This window comes from Homo sapiens, chromosome 15 (assembly GCF_000001405.40).
Source record: "Homo sapiens chromosome 15, GRCh38.p14 Primary Assembly".
Taxonomy (NCBI): domain Eukaryota; kingdom Metazoa; phylum Chordata; class Mammalia; order Primates; family Hominidae; genus Homo; species Homo sapiens.
Window position 1 is genome coordinate 21,277,506 of NC_000015.10, and position 25,892 is coordinate 21,303,397.

The following is a 25,892-nucleotide window of genomic DNA, read 5'->3' on the forward strand; positions in this document are numbered from 1 at the left end:
ATGCTTAAGATAAATTAACCATCATAGGAGAACATAAAACATAAATATCTAAGGGTGAACTAGAACCCAAAGGCCTAGTCTGGGTCATAGGATATTATGGAATGAAAGAATAACCCATACTGATGAAAATGTCACTTACCAAGATGATGATCTTACAGTGTAGGAACAGCAATTGTTTAGCTACAAAATGTGTGGTAATCATGACTTGCAGAAATAAGACTGGTAAAGTCTCCAAGAAACTTTCAGGATTCCTAAAACCAGTCCTTTGTCCAAAAGTCATCTTCATAGTAGTGGCCATATCCTGAATGAAGTTACTCAGTTCTTAAGAGCATACTGTCTAGGTCTGAAGAAGAATACGGAGAGTGAAGGCAGATTCATGGACCAAGGAAGATATTCACAAATAGAACATACAATGGGGGAAGAAATGATTTTAAGGAGAAATGACAATGACAATGACAGTGGTATGTAGTATGTAGGGGGGCCATTGCTTTCAATCTTGGAAGATGAGTTCAAGTTTTGATTGCATCAAAATGGAGTCACACTGAAGTTCTCAGGTAGAATTAGCCATACATCCTTTGCTTCTGGGTTTCTGAGATATTGGTGACAAAACTGAAACTAAGAACAGATCTATTGTCAACTATGATTGTCTTGCCTCCTTTTTTTCTCTGATCTTGTTTACTGCCTGAGTTTCCCTTCACATTTTACCACCACAACTAAGCAGGGACCTTATTTATTAAGGGTACATTCTTGCATATTTCTGCTTTAACATAGCATTAGTTAGTTCAGTATCGTATGAGTGAATTTGGGGGAGAAGTAACCAGTGTCTGTATCTGCTACAGACAATGAGAAGATTGTCTTACTGCAATATTTTAGGCATCTGCCTTGACTTCGAATGAACGTTCCTGTCCATACCCTAAAGGAGAAAAGAGTTGCACTCATATTATTAAATACCCTCTAGATTTTAGCGAATATATGGACTACTTTTTTTAAGCAAATCTGTAAGGGCAGTTGTCATTGTGGAGAACTGTGGGTTTAGTTAGTCTCCCTTAATAATACAAATGGAGAAAATTTAGTTGAGAACATTGTTGAATTTTTAGTGGTCCAGCGATATCTCTTTGTGGAGAGAGCATTTGCTTTATTAAATCTCCATTAGATAAACTCACATTTTTATAGGAGTGTTAAGAGAAAATCTCTCCAAGTGTTTAAGCCTGGGAAAATGAGAGAGAGGAAATACAGAACGAGGTCATGTGAACCGTCAATTGTGAATAAGAGGAAAAGTCAGAACCAAAGAAAAGCCCTTAGTGTGCAGAAGAGGTAGAGATTGAAAATGAGCTGTCAAAAAGAAATGCGGGGGATAAGCTAGAATAAAACACCTAAAGAATAAATTTCAAGGAAAAAGAGGAACATTAATAGGGCTAAATTTGATTAAACTTGACTGAGATAAAGGGAGAGAGAAAGGTGGTTTGATTTGGGGATTAGGTTATTAGTGACAATCTTCATAAGCAGGTTTCAAACGACTTGTAGTAGTAGAAACTGGGATGAAGGGAACTGTAGTAATTTAGGAAGGACAGGTAGAGTATCAGTATCTTTGAAAAGTTTGCAGGTGATGAGATCAATGAGAATAAATGATAACTTAATGGGGTGTCACAAAATCACCTTAAGTTGGCTGGTGAAGACTTGGGCAGTTTTTAGGAACAGATTATATTAATATTAAAAATAGGAAAAAAGAGCAAAGAAATATATTAGGACTTCTAGCTACATGGTAAACAATAAACTCTGGTTTTACTAAATATATTTGACACATATTATAGAATTTTCCTTGCAAATGTTGTTACAAATTATATGATATTTCCTCTTTTCCAATTTTCCTCTTACAAGGTAAATTCACCTAATTTTTATTATGATATATTTGTAAGGGGAATTGAATTATAAGCTTTCTCAGGTTAAAATAAGGACAAAACAAAAATTTTCTGATAAAATTTTCTTGCAGTATGCCACCATTTGCCAAAGGAAGTCAGCCATTGTAGCCTTTTCTGTAATCTTAAGTTTTTTGGACAGATATCTATTGTGCAAACTAAAATTTAGTTCTAATTCCATTCATATTAGATATATTTATTTAATACAGTATTCCGCTTAATACAGACTTTATAAATAGAATCACATTTTATTTTTAAATGTCATATCCTAGAGGAATGTTTGTACAAATCATTTAAAAATGAATAGTTTACAAATAACTTAGCTTTAGTCTTTAAGTATTTACATACATTTATTTATGATTTGTCACACATAAAAGGACATTCTTCTTCTTAATTATATCTTGCTGATACTTAATTTTAAAGTTTTTTTTTGTTTTAATTACACAACTGGTGGTGACAATATAACCCTAGATGGCTATGGTATATTTGTTCAGGTGCCTTGAGAAATACCAAAATTTTTGACAATGTTTTTTTTCCTTTGGGTCAGATCTTTTTTATTACAATGAAAGATAAATTTCAGTAAACTAAGAGACAGAGACTCTACACAGAGTTTCAGTTTCCCCTTAGCTCCTATAAAATGGAATGTCATGCTACTGAGATATCTCATGCACTGCTCTTGCCTTCTGTCTGAAGATGGGATTCATGAATTACCTGAATCATCTGGATCCCTAGAATTGGATTAGTGGCTCAGACAACTCCATCTTTTGGGACAGATGATAGAAGGTATCTATTTCCTACAGCTAGGTTTTTGCAGTAAGATTACATAACTCTTATTTGATCTTTCTCATTATTTTTTTCAGGACATAAATTGTGTTCCAATTCTGATATCCAATGATCTTACCTCATTTGGGGTAGGTTAAAGTAGATACTCATTAGGACTCTAAGGAGCATATTTTTCTACTTAGTGCAAACGTCAGAAAGTAAGTAATCATGTTTAAACTGACAAGAGCTTTAACCAGGAAGTTGCCTACATCACAAGATCTCCTTCCTGTGGTAGTGTGCATGGAGTCTTCCACAAAGAGACAGACAGATGCCTGCAATAACCGGCTTAAGAAAAGATAACCATCAATACCACTGGTTGATTTCATCTGCTCCTATGAGAAGGACAGATTGTACATGGTGCTGTCAGATGATCTCAGAACATAAAGAGATTTCCTGAGAGATCGTTATAATATTGGGATAAAACTTTACTGCAAAAATCTCATAGAGTGAATGAATGATAGAGGTAAACAAAAGTTTATTCTATTAAAACTTACATTTTGCAGCTTATTACAACATATGTTATGATTTGAATGTGTCCCCTCCAAAGTTCAATCATTGCCAATATGATGGTATTAAGAAGTGATTAAGATAGGTATTAAGATGGTCTTTAAGAGGTGATTAGGCCTTACAGTCTCTTCCTGGCTAATGGAGTTAAAAAGCCCTTACAAAAGAGACGTCCCGCAATGCTTGGCTAGTTGCCCTTCCACCTTATGCCATGTGAGGATGCAGCAAGAAGGCCCTCACTAGATCAAATGCCTAGAGCCTTGACCTTGTATTTTCCAGCCACTGAAACTGTGAGAAAGTAATTTTTTTTTCTTTATAAAATAGTCTGTGGTATTTTGTTATAGGAGCACGAATGGACTAAGACAACATGCATGTAATTAACAAATGGGTCTTGGGTATAGGCATGAAGGAGATAGCTTTCCAGTTTGCTAAGAGATGTCTAAACTGGACATCCTTAACAGCTGCCCCTCCACCCATAACCATTGCACCGGTTTCTATATAAAAGGTCAGAACTCTGCCTTTTACTTCGAGAACTTCTTTTCTGGGAAGGTCTAACAGCTTACTATCCAACCCATTATAACTAGCTATAATATTCTGTCAAATTCCTTCAAATTGATTTCTCTGTCTCAGACCACCATAACCCATCACAATTCTGAAAGCTGAAATAGGATGAGCACCCTCTTCTCTACAGATAGCCCTATATGGAACCCTTGGCTTCTGCTGAGATAAGATTTGAGATAGGAGAAAGAGAAAAGCTAGTTTGCCAACCAGAGGGAGGATGATGTGTTCAGTTTGCAAATGGTAAGATTTAGATGTTCTGTAGACAACTAGGAGTATTGGAATCCAGGCTTGGATGAGAGGTTTGGTTTGGTACATCAATTGAGTAGTCATTAGTATAAAAATTACAACTGGGCCGGGCGCGGTGGCTCATGCTTGTAATCCTAGCACTTTGGGAGGCCAAGGCAGGTGGATCACCTGAGGTCAGGAGTTCGAGACCAGCCTGGCCAACATGATGAAACCCCATCTCTACTAAAAATACAAAAAATTAGCTGGGCTTGGTGGTGGGTGCCTGTAATCCCAGCTAATCGGGGGAATGAGGCAGGAGAATTGCTTGAACCCGGGGGGTGGAGTTTGCAGTGAGCTGAGATCGCACCACTTCACTTCAGCCTGGGCAAAAGAGTGAAACACCATCTCAAAAAAAAAAAAAAAAAAAAGACAACTGGAGCTAGAAGGCAGGATTTGTAGGCAAAGGGGAAGTAAGTGGAGAGAGATGGGGATTGAGGACCCAGTCTTGCAGCAAGAAGAGGAAGAGAGTTACTGAAGGAGATGTGAAAGCCAGGTAGAGAGGTAAGAGAAACCTATTACAACGGCCCCATCACAGGGGGCCTTCACAGTCACACAGGCTTCACATTTGGATCTCTAAATGAGATCATGTCTCTATATTTTGTGAATATGTATTAAACGTTTAATTTAGAAGCAATAAATATTTAAAACATACTGAAATGTTGGGACACTGTAAAAGAAATGGGCTGTGTGTAGTGGTCACACCTGTAATCCCAGTGCTTTGGGAGGCTGAGGTGGGAGGACTGATTGAGCCCAGGAGTTTGAGACCAGCCTAGGCAACATATTAAGACCCTGCCTTTACAAAAAAAAAAAAAAAGTTGGGTATGGTGGTGCATACCCATAGTCCCAGCTACTTGGGAGGCTGAGATGGGAGGATTGCTGGAGCTCAGGGATTTGAGGCTGCAGTGAGTCATGATCACACCACTGCACTGCAGCCTGAGCAACAGAGCAAGACTCTGCCTCAAAAAATAAATAAATGAATGAAAGAAATGAAAGTTGCTTGGATTCTTACTAACTTGTGATTAGTCTTGGGAGGAAAATTAGAAGACTGTTCCAGGAACAGGCAATTGAGGTTGTCAGAAAAGTGAGATGTTGGCAAGATGTCAAAGAGAATAAGAACTGAGAGAAGACCATGATGTTCAGCAAGGGGGCCACTAGAACTCCATAAGAGAGAGGCCTGGGTATTGTGGTCAGAGGAAGTCAAGGAATTAGTAAATGCTAAAGAAAGTGGGACAGGTCTCAAGCATCCTTTAGAGAAGTTTGGCAATTAGAAGTGTGTGTGTGTGTGTGTGTGTGTGCGCGCGCGCGTGCGCGCGCACGCCAGTGTTCATTTTTACCTCTCATCTCCTATCTCGTCCAATACCTAATATTCTCTAGGGAAATGGAATCCTGGCTGAAAGGCAGGCTTGTCCTTCAGCTGTCACAGTGCCCAAGAAGCGCACAGCAGGGAGTCTTTTTTTTTTTTTTTTTAAATTTACGCTGTGGTGCTGGGAGCCAGAGACAGAGACAAAAAAAGCTGTCCTGGAGTCTGTTGCATTGTGACTGAATCAAGTTATCTATAAAAGGACTCAAAATAGGAGTCTGGGTTCACAGCTTAAAGGAATGAGGCTAAACAGCAGAAAGGCTCAAGCAACCACTGGTGGAGGGGAACAAGTAAGAACTTGTCTGGAGAAGTCTGGCGCCAAGTATAAATACCCACTGCTGACATTCACACATTCCCAGCTTGCTTGTCCAAGGGCAAGCAGGAGTCATTTACAGCCTGAACCTAATAGGCATCTAATATTGTTATGTGTTGTCATATCTCAACCACCACCATCACCACCACTCCCAGCTAGCACTCACAGAGCACCTGACCTGGGATCAGTGCCTGAATCAGAAACAGAAACTTCTAGACTGATGTGGTTCAGTGGTGCTTACATAGGCTATTGTTTACTACATCTGCACCCACCTTTCAGGAAGCATTTGGCTTGTACATTTAGCTCTGTGGCCCACTGAAGAGAATTTCCTGTGGGCAGTGGGGTGAGGAACCCTGCCTTAATCTGTTTCTCAGGTATTCTTCTCCCCTGCTTTTATGTGTCAGAACCTGTATAATCATTGTAGGGCCTATCCAGGAGTAGGCAGAGCCAGAGTGCCCATTCCTGATGTCCACAAAGTACAGTAATGCACCCAGGCTTGATTTGGAGCCACTCTTGCCTTCCTGACTGTTTTCAAAGATATGTCGCATGGCCTCTGAGCCAGTGCAACAAGCCTTGCAGGCATTGGTATTTGCACAACAAATAGTATTTTTTTTTTTTTTTTTTTGCTTAAATAAGGGAAATAGGGAATATTTATCACAGCTATACATTTATTCATCATTTAATTCCCATTTATTTATTCATTAATTTATTCAAACACTTCTTAAGCATGCACCATGTGTCATGCCCATCTTAGAGGCCACAAAGGTTCTAAAACTATTACTTGTGGACAGAAAAAGAGACCCATATACATGTAGCATTATGTCTTATTGGAATTCAGAGCAGGAAGAGAACACATCTGGCTGGGGGCAGGATGAGGAAGGACCTGATAAATTTTCTATTGAACAATTACTCTAAATAAGTGTGCTTTCTTTAGATGGTAAGGATTAGACCAGGATTCAAGATTACTGGATTTTGAGTCAAAGTTTGAGCTCCTTGGGGGAAAATCTGCATATATGCAGAGTCATGGTGGTAATTACAGTATTAAGCCCCATTTTGGAACACTTTGATCTGATCTGATTCAAAATTTTATTTCCTGAAAGGTTTACTCATGTCATATTAAGGTACTCTTGTCTTTTTATTTGCAAACTCATTTAAAATCTAAATACTGCTGCTCTCTGCTTTGGACTTGGCTGCTTTTCAATAACAGGAAGGAACAATACTGTTTTCATCAGTTTTGTACATGGGCCACGAGAAGGCAGCATTTTACTTCTTTTAAGATTTAATGCTGGTCTACAAAATGCTGAGCTGTGCCTGGAGGGCTTTGTGGTGTGGAAAATCTTCAGAAATGTTCAGTGAAACCCAGCATCCTCTGATTCATCTTTAAAGAGGAGAAAAAATTATTCTATGTGACTCTATTACCAATCTTTGGGCAGAGAACCAAATAATTCGGCCAGGCTCTCAGTCTTCATGGTTGAAAAGTTATCAGGAAATTTAAAATTTAAATTCATAGTTACAGAGCCACTAGTGAAAATTTGCTTTTTAATGAAAAATTTTTTTTTGGTCTACATTTTCACCCTCTGCGGTGGGGGCTCTTTTAAATGCCCCTGTTTAACCATACTGCATCCAGAAATGTATACATATCACAAACCTGTTGGTAATGACACCAAGGCAAGCTCCGTTTCCTTTCCCATCATCGGTGGACCACACCTACACCAGCGCTTCCTTCTGCGCATCCTATGGCACCCGTCTACTTTCTGCTTTGGGAATCCCCACAGAGGCTAGCACAGTGCTGAACTTGTAAAACGTACACAATAAACGTTCTATTTCTTGAACGACATTGGATGATAATGCAATCTCTCTCTTGTAAGAGAGAGGAGAAAGAGAGAGAGAGAAGTGAGAGGAGAGAGAGACAGAAGAGAAAGGTGAGGGGGGAGGGGAGAGAGACACAGAGACAGAGTCAGAGACAGAGAGAGACCAAAAGGGAACAGCTGGCAGCAGCAGGGAGGCAGGCTTGAGGAGTTGGTGTCTGATTTACGTGGGGGCCACAGATTGGTTTGATCAGGTGTGAAGTTTACAGGGCGCTGGGAAGGCTGGTTGCCCCACCCTAATCTTATGCAAATGGGCTTTCCACTTGCTCAGCGCCATCTCATCTACTCTTTACTGTACACGTGGCTGGCAAAGAGAAGGGAAGATAGAGCTCTCGTTTTGAACATGTAATTCCAGGTAGTATTTTCCTATTGGCACAACTTCACGCATTTGCCTGTGCAGGCTTCCACTTCGCTTGCCTATGTCTGCAACTTCATTTTACAGTCTGCTCTTTGTTAGGAAAATAAATGATTTGAGGGCTGCTTTTAATTAAAAGGTAAAACTTACCAAGGACTCCTGTACCCTCACTATCTGCCTAACTAATTTCTTCTTAACTCCTATATCAACAAAACCCCACGATAATTTTTTTCCTATGAAAAAATATTTTATTTGAAGAAATTAACGTAAGCTGTGTGTGGTGGCTCACACCTGTAATCCCAGTGCTTTGGGAGGCCAAGATGGGAGGACCCCTCGAGGCGAGAAGTTTGAGACCAGCCTGGGCAACATAGGAAGACCCTGTCTCTATAAAAAGTTAGAAAATTAGCCGGGCATGGTAGTGTGCACCTGTAGTCCCAACTCCTTGGGAGGCTGAGATGGGAGGATCATTTTTGGCCCCAGGAGTTTGAGGTTACAGTGAGCTGTGATTGTACCACTGCACTCCAGACTGGGTGACAAAACAAGACCCTGTCTCCAAAAAAAAAAAAATTAATATAAAATGTGGAACTTTTCGCTAGTGGAGATGAATGAATATACTGTGCAGATTTATGGAAGTATGACATCTAAAAAGACCAGAATAGTTCCTAAGTGAAAAGCGGAAGGATATGCCCTAGAAGAGGGCATAACTGAATGTGTGGGGAAGGTTTTCAAACTTTACTCCTTCTAATGCAAACCTCTGTGACCCCTTACAACCCCTTCCTCTGGATGGGTATCATTCCATATCATTACAGGCAGTACTGAGAGGGAGATTACAAATTGTAAACATTTTCAGAGGTGGGAGGAGAAAAGATGGAAACCATAAAGACACAGCTATATAAAAGGTTAATTGCATATATATTTGGTTATGGTAATTTCTGTATATATGCTTCATATCTTTTACAGTCAGTGTGTTAGTGGCAAATAAATACGTAGAACTTACTTCAAAATATTTTGTTGTTTCTTAAAGTGCCTAATTGTACCATAGTCCAACACGAAGCCCTTTTATAAGAGAGATGGAAGAGCATGCAGAATCTAATCATTAGATTCAATAAGTAAATATGTATTGAGTACTGATGAAGTACCAACTAAACATTATGATTCATTTTGATAAAACAAGCCAGTCACATTAGTAAGAAACAGCTCACTCTGGCTGGAGAACTTGTTCCCTACTTTCACAAGGTTGACTTCTTAATCTGATCAAATGAAAATGTCATGTTCACCAGAAAGGCCATTTCTGATCATCTAATTTATAGACTGAACACCCCTCACCCTGTCATTCTACTTTACAGCACCTTGTTCTGTTCACAATTTATAATTGTATTATCACTTTTTTACTTGATTAATGTCTGTCTCACTCATAGATCGTGAACTCCATGAAAGCAAGAATCAAATCTGTTTTGAAGCACTCCCAGCATTTAGGGAAATACCTGAAGTAGAAGGCATTCAGTAAATACTTGTGGAGTGAATGTATATATTCTTGCTCTATATGTGAAAACACCATTTATTCATACAGTTAAACTATGATGTCAGTATTATGTCAGATTATTATAATGTCATATTCATTAACAACGAGACCCATAGTAAAAACAAAAATGTATTTGACAAACTGTTCATTAGTAGGAAATTGAGTTTAGTATAGATGAAATTTTCAGGTAAGATATTCTTATCTTTTTGAAGATATGACAGCATATTTAAGCTTTGGGCAAGGCAGACTTTTTTTTTTTTTTTTGAGACAGATTTTCACTCGTTGCCCAGGCTGGAGGGCAACGGTACGATCTCGGCTTTCCGCAACCTCCGCCTCCCGGGATCAAGCAATTCTTCTGACTCAGCCTCCCGAGTAGCTGGGATTACAGGCATGCGGCACCACGCCCGGCTAATTTTGTATTTTTAGTAGAGATGGGGTTTCTCCATGTTGGTCAGGCTGGTCTCAGACTCCCAATCTCAGGTGATCTGCCCGCCTTGGACTTCCAAAGTACTGGGATGACAGGCGTGAGCCACTGCGCCCGGCCTGGGCTATTTTTGTTTCCCACAGATGTTTACACCAGAATGGCTGTTGCCCGGTTTGATTGCGCCAGTGTCTGACAGCTGTGTGGTGCCTGTATCATAACAGTTGTTAAATAATTTGAATATATAATGTTTAAATATGTAGCTTGTCTTTGATCTTTTGACAACAGAGATAGCTTCATTTACCTAAAGGGGTACTGATTTTAAAAATTAATTCATTTGAATTTAAACACAGCATATGCTAGACAAAACTCTTAGGGAAAGAATATGTATATACGTGCATGTAAACCACACAGACTGAAAGAGAAGCATTCAGTACATAAATTATTAGGCTCAAGTAGGAGGTTACTATAGAGTTAGCTGCTACTTATTTTCAGAATTTGATTTTATATTTTGAATTGGAAGAATGCCGATCTGGGAGTCAAAAACTCTTAATTTTGAGCCATGGATGCATAACCTTGGGTATTTTAATATTGGGCTTAGTTTACTGGTTTGCAAAAGAGATGAGTGGACAAGATATCTTTAAAGTCTATTCTAGGCATGAATTTTCATGATTCTGCAGTATATGTTCCTTTTAAGAAGTGAGACATTACCAGGATAAATATAGGAAAAACTAGTAGTATCCCCTTACCCCCTCACCCTCCTGAGTAACCAATTTAATATGCACAGAACATCCTTCTATCATCCTTTTTGGTACACACAAACATATATAAACAAAAATAAATGTATGTAAGCTTTCTTGCCTGAAAAAAGTAAAATAAAATATACATTATTCAGATGTGTTTCCCTGCTAATAGACATCTGAAAGTCTTCAGTTTTTATTTTTGTCACTATAAATAATATTTCAGTAAACACCATTGTAGAAGTATCACTATATGCTGATGCTTTTGTTTTTTTTCTGTCAGATACATTTTTGAAAATAGGATTTTTGGGTCAAAGGTATATGCAGTTTTCATTTTAATAGATAATTGCTAATTTATTTCTAAAATATTTGTGGTGATTTAGAATGGTAACAGTGCCAATTGCCAGCACTGAGTTAATATTTTGTTTTCTATTGCTGCTCACCTGAAGGCTAAAAATGATGCCATTTTAGTTTAATTTGAATTATCTAGATTTTGTTGGAACAAGAAAAAAGAATTCTACTTGCATCTCTTCAAATGATGGGTCTGCATACCGTCTACTATGAATTGGCAATTCGTAGCCTTTGCATATGTCCATTTTAATATGATCAACTTTTAGATATTATATATACTGTAAATATTTTTTCCAGTCTTTAGTTTGTCTTTCTGCTATGGTTTACATAGCGAGATATACTTGTTTTTTATAAAATAGGTGGTTTGTTTTCTGTCGTTCTTAAGTGAGAAGATCTTCACCAAGGGCTTCCTTCTGGAATTTTTATAGGTTTATTTAAAAATATTGGCCGGGCGCAGTAGCTCACGCCTGTAATCCCAACACTTTGGGAGGCCGAGGCGGGCGAATCACGAGGTCAGGAGATCGACACCGTCCTGGCTAACACGGTGAAAACCCATCTCTACTAAAAATACAAAAAATTAGCCAGGCGTGGTGGCGGGCGCCTGTAGTCCTAGCTTCTCGAGAGGCTGAGGCAGGAGAATGGCGTGAACCCCAGAGATGGAGGTTGCAGTGAGCCGAGATCGTGCCACTGCACTCCAGCCTGGGCAACAGAGTGAGACTCTGTCTCAAAAAACAAAACAAAACAAAAATATTTAATTCACCTGAACTTTAAAAAATATATAAATAGTCTAAATTTGTATTTTTACATGGGGTTTTTAATGGAGATGTACTGAATTAAAAGCTCATTTTGTCATATATAAGGCTCTTATGTGTACTTGGATGTAATTCTAGATTCCGTGCTCTATTCTCTAGATTTGCTTATTCATGTGCCAGTGCTATACTATTCTATTTTTTTTAAAGGTTTAAAACATTTATCACTAAAGATACTAGAATGTTCTTTGAAAACCTATTAAGACATTTAACTATTCTTTTATGCTATTCTGATCAAAAGAAAGAATAAAAGTTTAGGAAAGGGAAAAATGCACATTTCTTAAAAAAGTTTATTTCTAGCCCTGAAAGAACAAAATTATTGAACAAAGTCATAAAATACAGCAGTTAATGTCAATGTATAACAATTAAATAATTGAATGGGATTAAATTAAAAATAAAAGACATTATAAAATTTGAAGACAACAGAAAAGACAAACTATAATTTTACTTAATTCCATTTCTATCACAACAAGAAAAAAAAGCCAATGCGTTCCAACCAAAGATGCTGAATTCCAAACATAATTGTTTCTCTTAATAAAGAATAGAAGTGTGCTTGACAGAATTATCATCCATTTCTTTCTGCCTCTGTCTTGGCAGCATTCTAGAGAAGTGAATGGGAAAGACTTCCGTTCTTTCAAGGCCAGGCCAGTGCTTGCTTCTTCTTTCTAACTCCAACCTCGTCTACCACAGCATCTTTGCCAGAGTGTTCAATCAGTGTGTTGACTGAGAAAAAAGAATGTGTGTATATATTTTTTCTTATATACACACACTATCAAAAAACTGATTTCACCAGTTTCAATACCTACTGTGGGAGCAGCAGAGACAGGAAGACAATCTGCTTCTTGTATTACTATGAAGTTCCACTATAAAAAACCCCAAATGAGTATTAATCTGGATTTTAGCTATAATCTATAATATTTTGACACTGACATTTCACTAGATGTGGATCTCAGTATATTTAAAAAGATTTAGACTCAAAAATGGATGCAAATTCTTTAAGCATCTATTTTGTTTTTTTCTAATTTTAGCTACTACCTGATCAGATCTAAAATTATTCTGGCTAGAATACAGTATATACAAACGTATTTAAGTGAGCCCTATAAAGAAATACTCATAGGTAGTTTAAAATTTCTTGTTAAAGGCACAGGCTCGTTTACAGTTGGTGGTTACTAGACTCTAAGCAGCTTAACATTTATATGTTAAAGGGAAGAGAATTAGTACTATGTGCCAGGCACTCGACACATGAAGACAGAGTTGTATTAGCCTCGGTGTCTTACGCTTCACAATTACTCATTTACTATTCTAGGTAGGATAAAATGTTCCATGTTTCATAGTTTCCCAGTTTTAACTGTCCCTAAAAGCAGCAGAAGAAAAAAGAAAAAGTCTAAAATATAATAAATAAGTACTATAGTAACACTGTCCTAATAACACAAGAGGACTATTAAAGTAACTTTTAGATTTAAATGGGAATTTTCATTCTAAAGTGATGACAAAAAGGGTAAATATAAAAGGCAATTATTTAAAAAACATGAGGCCAGGTGTAGTGGCTCGTGCCTGTAATTGTAGCACTTTGGGAGGCCAAGGTGGGCAGATTGCCTGAGCTCAGGAGTTGGAGACAAGCCTGGGCAACATGGTGAGACTCTGTCTCTACTAAAAATACAAAAAATTAGCTGGGTGTGGTGGCACGCACCTGTGGTCTCAGCTACTCAGGAGGCTGAGGCATGAGAATTGCTTGAACCCAGGAAGCGGAGGTTGCAGTGAGCTGAGATCATGCCACTGCGCTCCAGCCTAAGTGACAGAGTGAGACTCTGTATCAAAAAAAATAAATAAATAAAAAAAAATAAAAAACATGAATCTTGATTCAGATATAATTTTTCTTTCAACAAGTTCTCAATGTTTTAATTTAAAATTAATAAATCACAATTCTGTATTGCTTTTAAGATTTTGTTTAAAAATGACACATCTCAAAATTAACCAAACTATATTTCTGCTAGAGGTTAGTTTATCCATGTAACTTAAGAATAAACCACAGTGTAGCTCCCTTAACCAAAGAGCCAGGTTTTAATGACTGAAGTCAGCTGCCAGCAATGGACATGCAGGTAACTATCGAAGAAGTTGTAGCTACAAATCCCAAACTGCTTCTATCAATGGAAAAGCCCTTTGTTGAGTCACAAGCCTGAAGTGAGGCCTTGGCACATAGTCAGTGAGAATGGTCTTTGACTTAGAAGGGAAGTGCCTCTGAGTGCATGAGGATCACAGTCTTCTCATCTCGTTGGTTTTCTATTTCATTGGTAGCATCTTCTTTATCATAATCCATCCGTTTACAAAGAATGTTAAAATTTGGAACTCAGGTGGCACTGCAGCTTTCTGACAGAAATAAACCAGTTTCTGTAATTCAGTAATAGCTGTAGAAGGCCAATATATTCCAGAGAAAAATGAAATCAAGAATTATATTGAAAACAGAGACCACTAAGTGCTCTAAATATGTTTCATTAATTATTTTACTCATTTTTCTGAAAATCTTGCCTTATCAATAAAAAACAGTCACTTCTCTCCTTATAATTGTATCTTATCATAGATATAGTGGGAATAAAATAATGGAAATAAAACCCTGCTAGTTTCCCCAATGTATACTACAACAGCAAAATTATTTTTTATTCATGATTTATACTACTGCAGGATGGCAAGCAGGGGGGAAGTTAATGGGGGAAGGGGATGGTGGGAACAAAATGCCAGAACCAAACCAAATACTTGAACAACCTATTCCAAAGCAAAACAATGAATAAAGGAGAAGGAGAGGAGATGAAAGAAGAGAAGAGAAAGGGAGGGGAGGGGAGAAGGGAGGGCACTCAAATAATTAATGCTACAGGTCTCAGATCTTTCAGAATCTTTAAAAGAAACAAATTATTGCTCTCAACACGCACATTTCATTTTCCTTTCTTGTTTTTTTACATTAATAGTCTCTACCTATTTGAAAACAAAACAAAAGTAACTCAACATCTCAAATGATCTATAAATTCATCAAGAAATACTCTGTCGCTCAAGTTCTCATAGATAATACCACACTGATGATGACCTGGAGCAATGCCGCCGCCTCCAAGTCTCTACAGTTGATTTCCTATCGGCTGCTTCTCTGTAACACTAACATTCTCTTTCATGAGTATAATCTCTTCTCACTATATCAGAGATCACCAAGGTTCACGTCTCTCACTCTGCGCCTGCTAGTCCCAAATATTGTTCTCCTTTAAGTGGAAAAAAGCTAATTTTAAATTCCCGAAAATTCACTGGTTATTATATTATTTGCCATGGGAGGGGGGTATCTGTGAGGTGAGAGAGGATTAATGAAAAACAAAAAGAACAAAAATAAACCTAAAATTGCAACATATACAGAAATTTATTTCCAAATTGAAGGGGGAAAGGAGGGAAGAAGGTAGTGGCACTAACCAAAGTCACAAAGCCCAGGTTGGAACAAGAACAAATCACTTTGGTTCCTAGAGCCAAGCCTGAAGGGGAAACAGGCAGAAGGGAAGACGAAATGGGAAGAAATACACGGTCAATGGGAATCTTTTTCTATCTCAATGATTTAGTTATAAATAGAGATTATTAGTCTTCTCTCTATACATGTAACAAATGCCAAACTTACTACCACAAAATTTCTAAAACTGACTTTTTCACATTTGTTAAAAAAGGTAAAAATCAAATACTTTTCTTCCCTTCCTTCAGGTCAAGTTCTGAACTAAAATATTACATGTAACAACAGCTGGTCCTAACTTTTATAAAAAGTGAAACTATATAGAGCTCCTTTGCCAACATAAGGAGCTACATAATTTCTATTACACTTACCTAGGCATGAGAAACTCAAAAGCAACTCAAAAGGAGCAAGTCCAGGAAAAGGAAAGCTATGAAGGAGAGAAAGACTAGCAGATGAAACAAATACTCTGAAAAACTCCAATCTGCCATTCAAGTATTGGAAATACCCCAAAGGGGACAATGAATGGGATCTATTACAACAAAGTCAGCAAAGTAAAATGCAAATCTCACATATGATAAATGGCCCTGATAGGCGGTTTGCTGAAAGACCTAAGGCTAGTGATTCAGTCCACAATTCCTTTTGGACCCTAAAGAAGGGGTTCATATAAAAGTCATACTTTTCTTTTTGCAATTTTCTCTTGGTTGTCTTCAGAGAATAGTCATTTGCTTCTTTCATTCAGGTTATGCAGACCATTTCTTTAAACCCCCAAAAGAGTAATAATTTTCATATACTAAAAGGCTTCTTGTAGAAAATGGAAAAAAGAATATGAGGCCACAGCAGTGATGTTAACGGTTACTCTTCATTGCTTCTTTAGCTGCCATGATCAGTGGTGTCAAGCTAGATAACAGTTTGGCTAGTTTCAGGAAAAGATGCTGTAATAATTCTTTGGCTGAACCCCTTTTTTCCACATCTGTTTCCAAACATCGATTTAAGAAATCCCGAAATATTGGGGAAAGTGTCTCTGGATTCTGAAGTTCTGGGATTCCATTAGTTGCTATTAGGCACAAGGCCCTCAAGGGATTTTCATTGAGGTATGGAGGCTCTCCTTCTACCATCTCAGTAGCCATGATACCCAGAGACCATACATTGACTTTAGGGCCATAAGCCTTCCGTGTAACCACTTCTGGTGCCATCCAGTATGGCGTTCTGACCACGGTACTGCGTTTGCTCTGCTCAGGGGTGATCTGGGCACAGAAACCAAAGTCAGTGAGCTTAACCGATCCTTCCATTCCCAAAAGTACACTGTCACTTTTGATGTCTCTGTGGATCACTTGATTAGCATGTAAAAACTCCAATGCCTGTAAACTCTCTCTGCATACAGCGGCAATCTGTGCTTCATCCATGCAGGTTTCTGTTACCACATCAGTGAGTGACCCCCTAGCAAGGTATTCCACGACCACAAACAATTCATCTCCTACCAGGTAACTGTCCAAGAAGTTAACTATGTTGGGATTTTTTAATTCTTTCATTACCAGAATCTCATTAATGATCAATTCCTTCTTTGGCTGTTTCTGTAAATTAATTTGTTTGATAGCAACCTTCTGTCCCAGTGCAACGTCAGTAGCAGTGAAAACTGTACCAGAAGCCCCTTGTCCAATTTTTTCATATCTTGTATATTTTTTTCTTAGGGTCACCTATGCTCACAATAGTTCTTAGTTTCTCCATAATCTCTTCATCTGTCATCTTAGTCTTCTTTTTCTGTTTGTCTAAAGACTTGGCACCACCATCAACATTTGAATCACCAACTGGTGCAGGAACAGGGTCAATTACAGACCGTGTGTAAATTGATTTCATATGATCCGGTGGTGGGGCAATAATGGGAGGGGCAGTCTCTTCATCATCGTCCTCCTCCTCTGTCACTACTGCAGGTGCTTCTGTTCCCTCGGCATTCAGTGCTGGTGTTCCAGAAGGGAAGCCATCTTTCTCAGGAGGAGTAAAACTCAGATACTTCTGCTTCACTGTGTTGGAGTCGTAGACATCCAGCACAGCCTGAGGATTCTTCTTTTGCTCTAGTTTGGTGATATTTGAGGTCTGTAGTAATCGAGCCCAGTGTTCTGGCATGCCAGTGAATTCTCCAGTAACAGCATCAAAGCCAACATGGATGGTGTGTTCAAAATCAGATGGAGGAGAAATTTCTGGCCGTTCCTTTTCTTTCTTTTTACTTCCTTTCTCTGTGCCTGAGAATATGGAGATGATTTTATGCCTGGGCTTTTTCTCCTCTGGAACAGAAGGCAAAGGTTTCAAACTGTGATTGGCTGACAAAGGGTCTTTGCCCCCAGTGCTAAAGATGGTCCTGCTCATTCGCACGGGAGGTGCTGGAGGCTTGTCTTCCAGTTCTCTGTTATCACACATGATTCAGAATTATGAAATGGCCCCAGGTGAGGCAAGTTCCCCACCCCAGTGAGGCACCTTGGTCAGAGCTCCTGGGAGGTTGCGGAGGCGCCTGGTACCAAAACAGAGATATAGACCAATGGAACAGAACAGAGCCCTCAGAAATAATACCACACATCTATAACCATCTGATCTTTGACAAACCTGACAAAAACAAGAAATGAGGAAAGGATTCCCGATTTAATAAATGGTGCTGGGAAAACTGGCTAGCCATATGTAGAAAGCTGAAACTGGACCCCTTCCTTACACCTTATACAAAAATTAATTCAAGATGGATTAAAGACTTACATGTTAGACCTAAAACCATAAAAACCCTAGAAGAAAACCTAGGCAATACCATTCAGGACATAGGCATGGGCAAGGGCTGCATGTCTAAAACACCAAAAGCAATGGCAACAAAAGCCAAAATTGACAAATGGGATCTAATTAAACTAAAGAGCTTCTGCACAGCAAAAGAAACTACCATCAGAGTGAACAGGCAACATACAGAATGAGAAAAATTTTTGCAATCTACTCATCTGACAAAGGGCTAATACCCAGAATCTATAATGAACTCAAACAAATTTACAAGAAAAAAACAACCCCATCAAAAAGTGGGTGAAGGACATGAACAGACACTTCTCAAAAGAAGACATTTATGCAGCCAAAAGACACATGAAAAAATGCTCATCATCACTGGCCATCAGAGAAATGCAAATCAAAACCGCAATGAGATACCATCTCACACCAGTTAGAATGGTGATCATTAAAAAGTCAGGAAACAACAAGTGCTAGAGAGGATGTGGAGAAATAGGAACACTTTTACACTGTTGGTGGGACTGTAAACTAGTTCAACCATTGTGGAAGTCAGTGTGGCGATTCCTCAGGGATCTAGAACTAGAAATACCATTTGACTCAGCCATCCCATTGCTGGGTATGTACCCAAAGGATTATAAATCATGCTGCTATAAAGACACATGCACACGTATGTTTATTGCGGCACTATTCACAGTAGCAAAGACTTGGAACTAACCCAAATGTCCAACAATGATAAACTGGATTAAGAAAATGTGGCACATATACACCATGGAATACTATGCAGCCATAGAAAATGATGAGTTCATGTCCCTTGCAGGGACATGGATGAAGCTGGAAACCATCATTCTCAGCAAACTATCGAAAGGACAAAAAACCAAACACCGCATGTTCTCACTCATAGGTGGGAACTGAACAATGAGAACACATGGACACAGGAAGGGGAACATCACACACTGGGGCCTGTTGTGGGGTGGGGGGAGGGGGGAGGGATAGCATTAGGAGATATGCCTAATGTTAAATGATGAGTTAATGGGTGGAGCACACCAACATGGCACATGTATACACATGTAACAAACCTGCACGTTGTGCACATGTACCCTAAAACTTAAAGTATAATAAAAAATAAAAACATACAACCAAACAAAAAAAAGAATGCTGGAAAAGCACAAATGTAACGTTTTATGTGGTGGGACAGCCCTTTCAAAAGTGTTTTCCACTGCTTATACTGATGAAGGTAGAAAAAAATTTCACTTATTTTAACTCTTCCTTTAAAAACTTCTTCTTGGTGGCTCATGTCATGCATACTCCACAAGTCCTGGAAGTTAAATGCTCTTAAATATTTGATGGTCTGGTCTTAGCAAAACGGCAGGTTTTTACTTTTACATTTTTAGCTATGTTTTAAATTATTTGTAATCCAGACACTGAAGTTTTATTTTGTTGTGAATTGAATCTGGGCAGAGTGTACAAGGGATCTCTCTGTATTATTTTTACAACTACATGTGAATCTATAATTATCTCATCAAAAATTCACTGAAAAAGGTATCACGGAGCCCATGTTTGCTGTTACCGTCTTTGCTCCTCCCAGGTTACAATGCCCCGTGCCTCTCAGTGCACAGTGAAAATGCAGCAGACGTTTTTGATGTGAGCTCCACGGAATGGATCCAGACTGTCCCCTTCAACAAGGTAATTTGACCTTAAGATTATGCAACTAATGAGTTAATGACTGAAACGCGGAAACAGAAATAATCCATTGTACATTTACTGTAATGGGTACTTGCTAGTTTGGAGGCTTAACAAAGAGTATAAAAAACAAAACCCTACAAAACATTATATTGATTAATTGCATTACTAGTACTAGAGCCATTTGTGACATCTAGTTCCATTATATAAAGTAGTATTGTTATAGATAAATATATTATTTATTTATACCATACAGCACAGCAGTTATTTCCCATATTCAGTTTAAAGTTACTTTATCAGTAATTTTTACTTACCAGTATAATTTGTTCCTTTTATACTTACCAGTATAAAAAGGAACACTTTACAGGGTAAAAGGAACATTTTTACAGGGTAAAAAAAGAAAAAAGCATATAACCAAGGCTGTGTTTCAGATTCTCAGTAGGATCTCACAATGGTGATGTTTTGCAAAACAAGGACATTGACAGTAACTCCATCTACTTACCTTAGGCAGATTTTCCTAGTTTTACTTTCACTGTGTGTGTATTAATGTCTGTATAATTCTACCACCTGTGTGAATTCATGTATCCACCACTAGTCAATATACTGAATGGCTCCAGCACCACAGTGGGTCCCTCAAGAGCCCTTTTATAATCACTCCCCCTCCCTCCCACCTCCTTCCGCTTTCCTAACCCCTGGCAATCAGTAACCTCCATTTCTAAAATTTTATCATTTCAAAAATGTCTAACAAATGGCGTTATATAGTATTCATGATTTTTATCTGCTAAGTCCAAATTTATTTTTCTAAAAAAAACAAACTTTGGATTAGAAACCCAGGAGAATCCCATTACAATATTCTTATCATATAGCAGCTACATCAAAAAATTTTTGGAATATATACAGTTCAAATAAATAGACAAAAACAAGTGATGCCCATCAGTCAGATGATAGAGTAACTTCAATTCATATGGTCCAAGTCTGACAAAAATGCATTCTAACACCTGCATCTAACACCAGCTTTATTGAATAATTTCATCACGTTTCAAAATCTGTGTCTCCTAGACCAGTTGAGCTCACAACAAAAAGCAATTGTAGAGAGTTAGAAAAATATATGAAATTAGTGAACAAAACAGTGAAACCTTCCAACCAGGAATGTTTTTGGAACTTTCTTTGTTAGTAATAGTTCCTTATGGTTCCTAAATATTCAACCTCCCAGCATGAATGTGTCTCCCATCAAAAGAGCCACAGAATAAACACAACCTCTTTTTTCAACATCCCTCTTCCTATGCTCACGTCTCCCATCTTTTTCCCTTGTCTTACAGCCAAATTCCTGAAATTGTTATTGATATTCCTTGCCCTCCACTTCCCACCCCTATTCACACCTCCATCACAGGGCAATCTGACTTACACCTTAATCACTCCATTAAAGCTGCTCTCATACAAGTTATCAGCCATCAGTTGTGAAAACCATCTGACCTGTTTGTCTCTTCTTGGCTGCCCAGCGACACCTGACCCTTCTTTCTTCAGTCCCCACGCTGCTGCTCCCTCGATTTTCCCCACTTCCCTGAATTCTCCTTCCCTGTTTTCTCTGCTCCTCTTCCTCTGGTCGAAGCCCTCTTCCTTTCTCGCTCTGCTTACTCAGCATGTCCAAAGAGTCAGGCTGACACTACCAGAAGCGAGTCATCGATTTTAGCGTGACAAGTGGGATGGCTAGAGATTGTGTGCCATGCACAGTACTGTTCATGAAGTGTTCCTACAACCAGGCTTTAGAGCTCCTTCCCCATTATAGGAAATTCAGGGCATAGAAGTGAAGCAGTATCATGAGGGAGAACAAAGACAGGTGCAGATTGTGGGACATTATGAAGGACAACAAATCAGTGGCAGGGAGGACTGCTCAGGATGAGAGGACCTTTGTGAGAAAGTGGTGTGCAGGGTGGACCTTGTCAGGATTCTGATTCCAATAGACAGACTGCAAAAAGAGAAATACTTGTGATAATCAAGTATGTATGACTGTGGACTATGTATGGGATGATAATCAGAATCATTGAGTACATCTTCAGGAGCGATCACAGCAATGTGATTATGGGAGAAAGTGTCCCTACTTTTAGTGATACATGTTCAAATGTGTAGAGATGGAACAACATGATGTCAGGGATTTGACTTGAAATATTCCAACAACACAACAACAAAGAAAATACTTCAATGGTCACATCTCTTCCTCCATACCCGCCTAGATCTGCTCCACCTTGTGTTTTATGACCTCAGAGTCTATCAGTGGCCTCCGCCCCTTTGCTCAAGTTGGAAACCTGAGAATCATTGCTGATTCTCTTACATGTCAGCTTCCACTTCCAACCAAGTGTGAAGCTTTTGCAATTTTATCTCCTCAATATTCCTCATATCCTCTCCTCTCCATCCCCACCGCTACTATCATACATAATTTTAATTCACAATTTCTCCCGTAACCCCCTAACTGGTCTCTTAGCCTCCAGTAAGTAGTAATTGAATTCCCTTAATTACTAGTGGTGTGGAGCATTCATTTGTGCGCTTATTTGCCACATGTATCTTCTTTGTTGAGGAACCTGTTCAAATACTCCGCCCATTTTAAAAATTTGGGTTGAGTTGGGGAGCGGTGGCTCACACCTGTTATTTCACCACTTGGGAGGCCAAGGTGGGTGGATCACCTGAGGTCAGTTCAAGACCAGCCTGGCCAACATGGTGAAACCTCGTCTCTACAAAAATACAAAAATTAGCCAGGCATGATGGCGGGTGCCTGTAATCCCAGCTACTCGCAGGGGTGGGAGTGGGGGATTGGGAGGCTGAGGGGGGAGAATCGCTTGAATCTGGGAAGCTGAGGTCACAGTGAGCTGAGATTGTGCCATTCCACACCAGCCTAGGCAGCAGAGCAAGACTCCATCTGAAAAAAATAAAATTTGGGTTATTTATTTTCTTATTATTGAGTTTTTAAAATTCTTCATACATTCTGGATACAAGGTTTTTTTGTCATATCTGATTTGCAAATATTTTCTCCAAATCTGTGACTTGTTTACTTCTCTTAGCAGTAAATTTCAAAGAACAGAAATTTTTAATTTTATCAATTTTTTATTTTTATTTTTATTTTGAGACAGAGTCTCACTCTGTCGCCAGGCTGGAGTGCAGTGGTGCGATCTCGGCTCACTGCAACCTCCGCCTCCCAGGTTCGAGGGATTCTCCTGCCTCAGCCTCCCGAGTAGCTGGGACTACAGGTCCCAGCTCGTATAGCCAGCACGCCCAGCTAATTTTAGTATTTTTAGTAGAGAAGGGGTTTCACCATGTTGGTCAGGATGGTCTCAATCTCTTGACCTTGTGATCCACCTGCTTCTGCCTTCCAAAGTGTGGGGATTACAGGCATGAATCAACGTGGCTGGCCCCAAACTTTTATCACATTTTTAAAAGTTTTATACATTGTGCTTTGATGTTGTATCAAAGAATTGTTTGCCTTATCCAAAATCAGAAAGATTTTCTTCATTGTTTACTTTTAGGCACTTCCTAGTTTTAGGTTTACATTTAGTTACATGACCTATTTTGAATTAACTCTCATATATGCTAAGAAATATAGATAAAAGTTGATTTTTTTGCATATGGTTATCTGAGGTTCTAGCACAATTTGTTGACAGCTTTTGCAGCTTGTTGGAAATACTGTATATATTAAAGCAACAGAATAGAGGATCCTGCAATATATATCAGCAAATGTATAAACAGACACATAGATATAGAGATGGATATACACAAAATATTTTTGTATCTGTATATACAGTTCTGAATTTCATATCATATATATTATAGTTTTATTGTTGAAATCAGGTAAAGTTAATTTATCAAATTTGTTCTTTTTTCAGTTATTTTGGCTCTTCTAGATCGTTTGCATTTTCTTATGAATTTCAGAATCAGCTTGTCAATATCTACCAAAAAATATTAAAATCCTGCTAGAATTTTGACTAGGATTGTGTTGAAACTATCTATCAATTTGGGGAACATTTATGTTCTAAATATTGGTTTCCAGGGCATGAAGACAGTGTATCTCTCCATGTATTTGGGTTATCTTTAATGTTTCTCAGTATTCCACAGTTTTCAGTGTACAGGTCATGCACATCTTTTGTCAGATTTATTCCTAAGAGTTTAATATATTTTGATGCTACTTTAAATGGCATTGCTTTTAAAATTCCAATTTCTGGTTATTTGTTGCTAGTATAAAATGCAATTGGTTTTTGTATATTGTTCATGTATCCTGCAACCTTGCTAAACTCATTTATTAGTTCTAATAGCTTTTTTTGTATTTTATATTGAATTTTCTACATAGATGTTCATTTTGTCTGTGTGCAGTTTTGCTTCTTTCTTTCTATCCTGGACGTATTCTATCTCAGCTTCTTGGCTGGCTAGGATTTCCACAACAATGTTAAATGTAAGCGTGGTGAGAGCAAACATCCCATCTTGTTCCTGATAAGACAAACAAGAAAGCATTGAGTGTTTCGTTACTAACAATGATGTTAGCTGTAGGATTTTTCACAGATGCCTTTTATCAGGATGAGGAAGCTCCCTTCTAAATGTTCCAAATGTAAATATATGACTTCATCAAATGTATTTACTGCATCTATTGACATGATCATTTATTAATATGGTGCAATACATTGATTGATTTGAGGATGTTCAACCAACCAACTTTTCTGAGATACATTATATTTGTCCACGGTACAATATAATTTTTATGTATTGTTGGAACTGATTTGCTAACATTTTGTAAAGAACTTTTATATCTAAATTCAAAAAGAATATTTGTTTATAGTTTTTTTGTAATATCTTAGTCTAGCTTTGGTATCAAGGTGATACTAGCCTTATAAAATAAGTTGGTAACCAGTTCCTACTCTTCAATTTTCTGAAAGAGTTTAAGTATAATTGGTAATATTTCTTCCTTAGAGGTTTGAACAAAAAACTTCAGAGAAGCAATCTGGGGTTAGAGTTTCCTTTGTAGGATGAGCATTTAATTAAAATTCAATTACTTCAATAAATATAGAGTTATTCAATTATCTGATTCTTCTTGAGTGAGCTATAGCAATTTGTATCTTTCAAAAAAAATTCTCATTTCATCTCAGTTACAAAATTTATTAGGTAATGCTGTACACAGTATTCCCTTACTCCATTTTTAATTTTTACAAAATCTGTGCTGATATAGTTTCTTTCATACCTGATATTAGGAATTTGTCTCTTTTTTGTTTTGATGATCAGCCTGCTGGAAGTTTATAAATATTTGGTTTCATAGATTTTTCTCTATTTTTTTTTTGTTTTATTGATGTTCACTCTGATCTCTAGTATTTCCAAAATTGTTTTTTGTGTTTAATTTGCTCTTGTTTTTCCAATTATTAAGGCAGAAGCTGGGGTAGTTAATTAATCTAAAATCTATTCTCTTTTCTACTATAGTGTTTAATCCCATAATTTTACACATAAATATTGCCTTATCAGCATTCCACACATTTTGAAATATTGTTTTCACTCTCACTTAGCTGAAAATGCATTGGTTTCTCTTTTGAAATCTTCTTTAGCCCTTGCAATATGTAGACATGTGTAATTTATCATCTTAATACTTGACGTTTTTCCAGAAAAGTTATTATTATTAACTTCTAATTTATTTCCAATGTGGTCCAAGAACATACTTCATAGGACTTAAATCACTCCAAATATTCTGAGACTTGCTTTCTGGCACAGAATGTATTCTATCTTGATAAATATTCTGTGTTTGCTTGAGAAGAGTTTATATTATGTGACTGTCAGGTGGACTGATTTATAAATATCAATAAAATCAAGTTATTTGATAGTTTTATTTTTTTAAGTCTGCTGTATCTTCACTGATTTTTTTTCTACTTGTTCTACTAATTATTGATAGTGAGTATTGTAATCCCCAACTATAACTGTGGAGAAATAGACAACTATTTCTCTTTTGAGTTCTATTGGTGTTTGTTTCGTTTGTGTTGAAGCTCTGTGATGACATACGTAGTGCTTGTTATTCTTAGAATTATCACGTCCTCCTGAGAAGCGGACCCTGTTCTCCTTATAAAACGACATTCTTCATCCCTGATATTCTCTTATCTGATGTCTACTTTATCTGATATGAATATAGCCACTCCAGCTTTCATTTGA

The 25,892-nt window shown here is 37.9% G+C and overlaps 1 pseudogene across 1 annotated transcript; it reads right to left on the reverse strand.

The window, feature by feature from the left end:
* Positions 1-12,098: 12,098 nt before the first annotated feature.
* Positions 12,099-20,324, reverse strand: LOC646214 (p21 (RAC1) activated kinase 2 pseudogene; annotated as a pseudogene). The gene has a single exon (NR_027053.2). The product of NR_027053.2 is annotated as a p21 (RAC1) activated kinase 2 pseudogene (transcript).
* Positions 20,325-25,892: the final 5,568 nt, after the last annotated feature.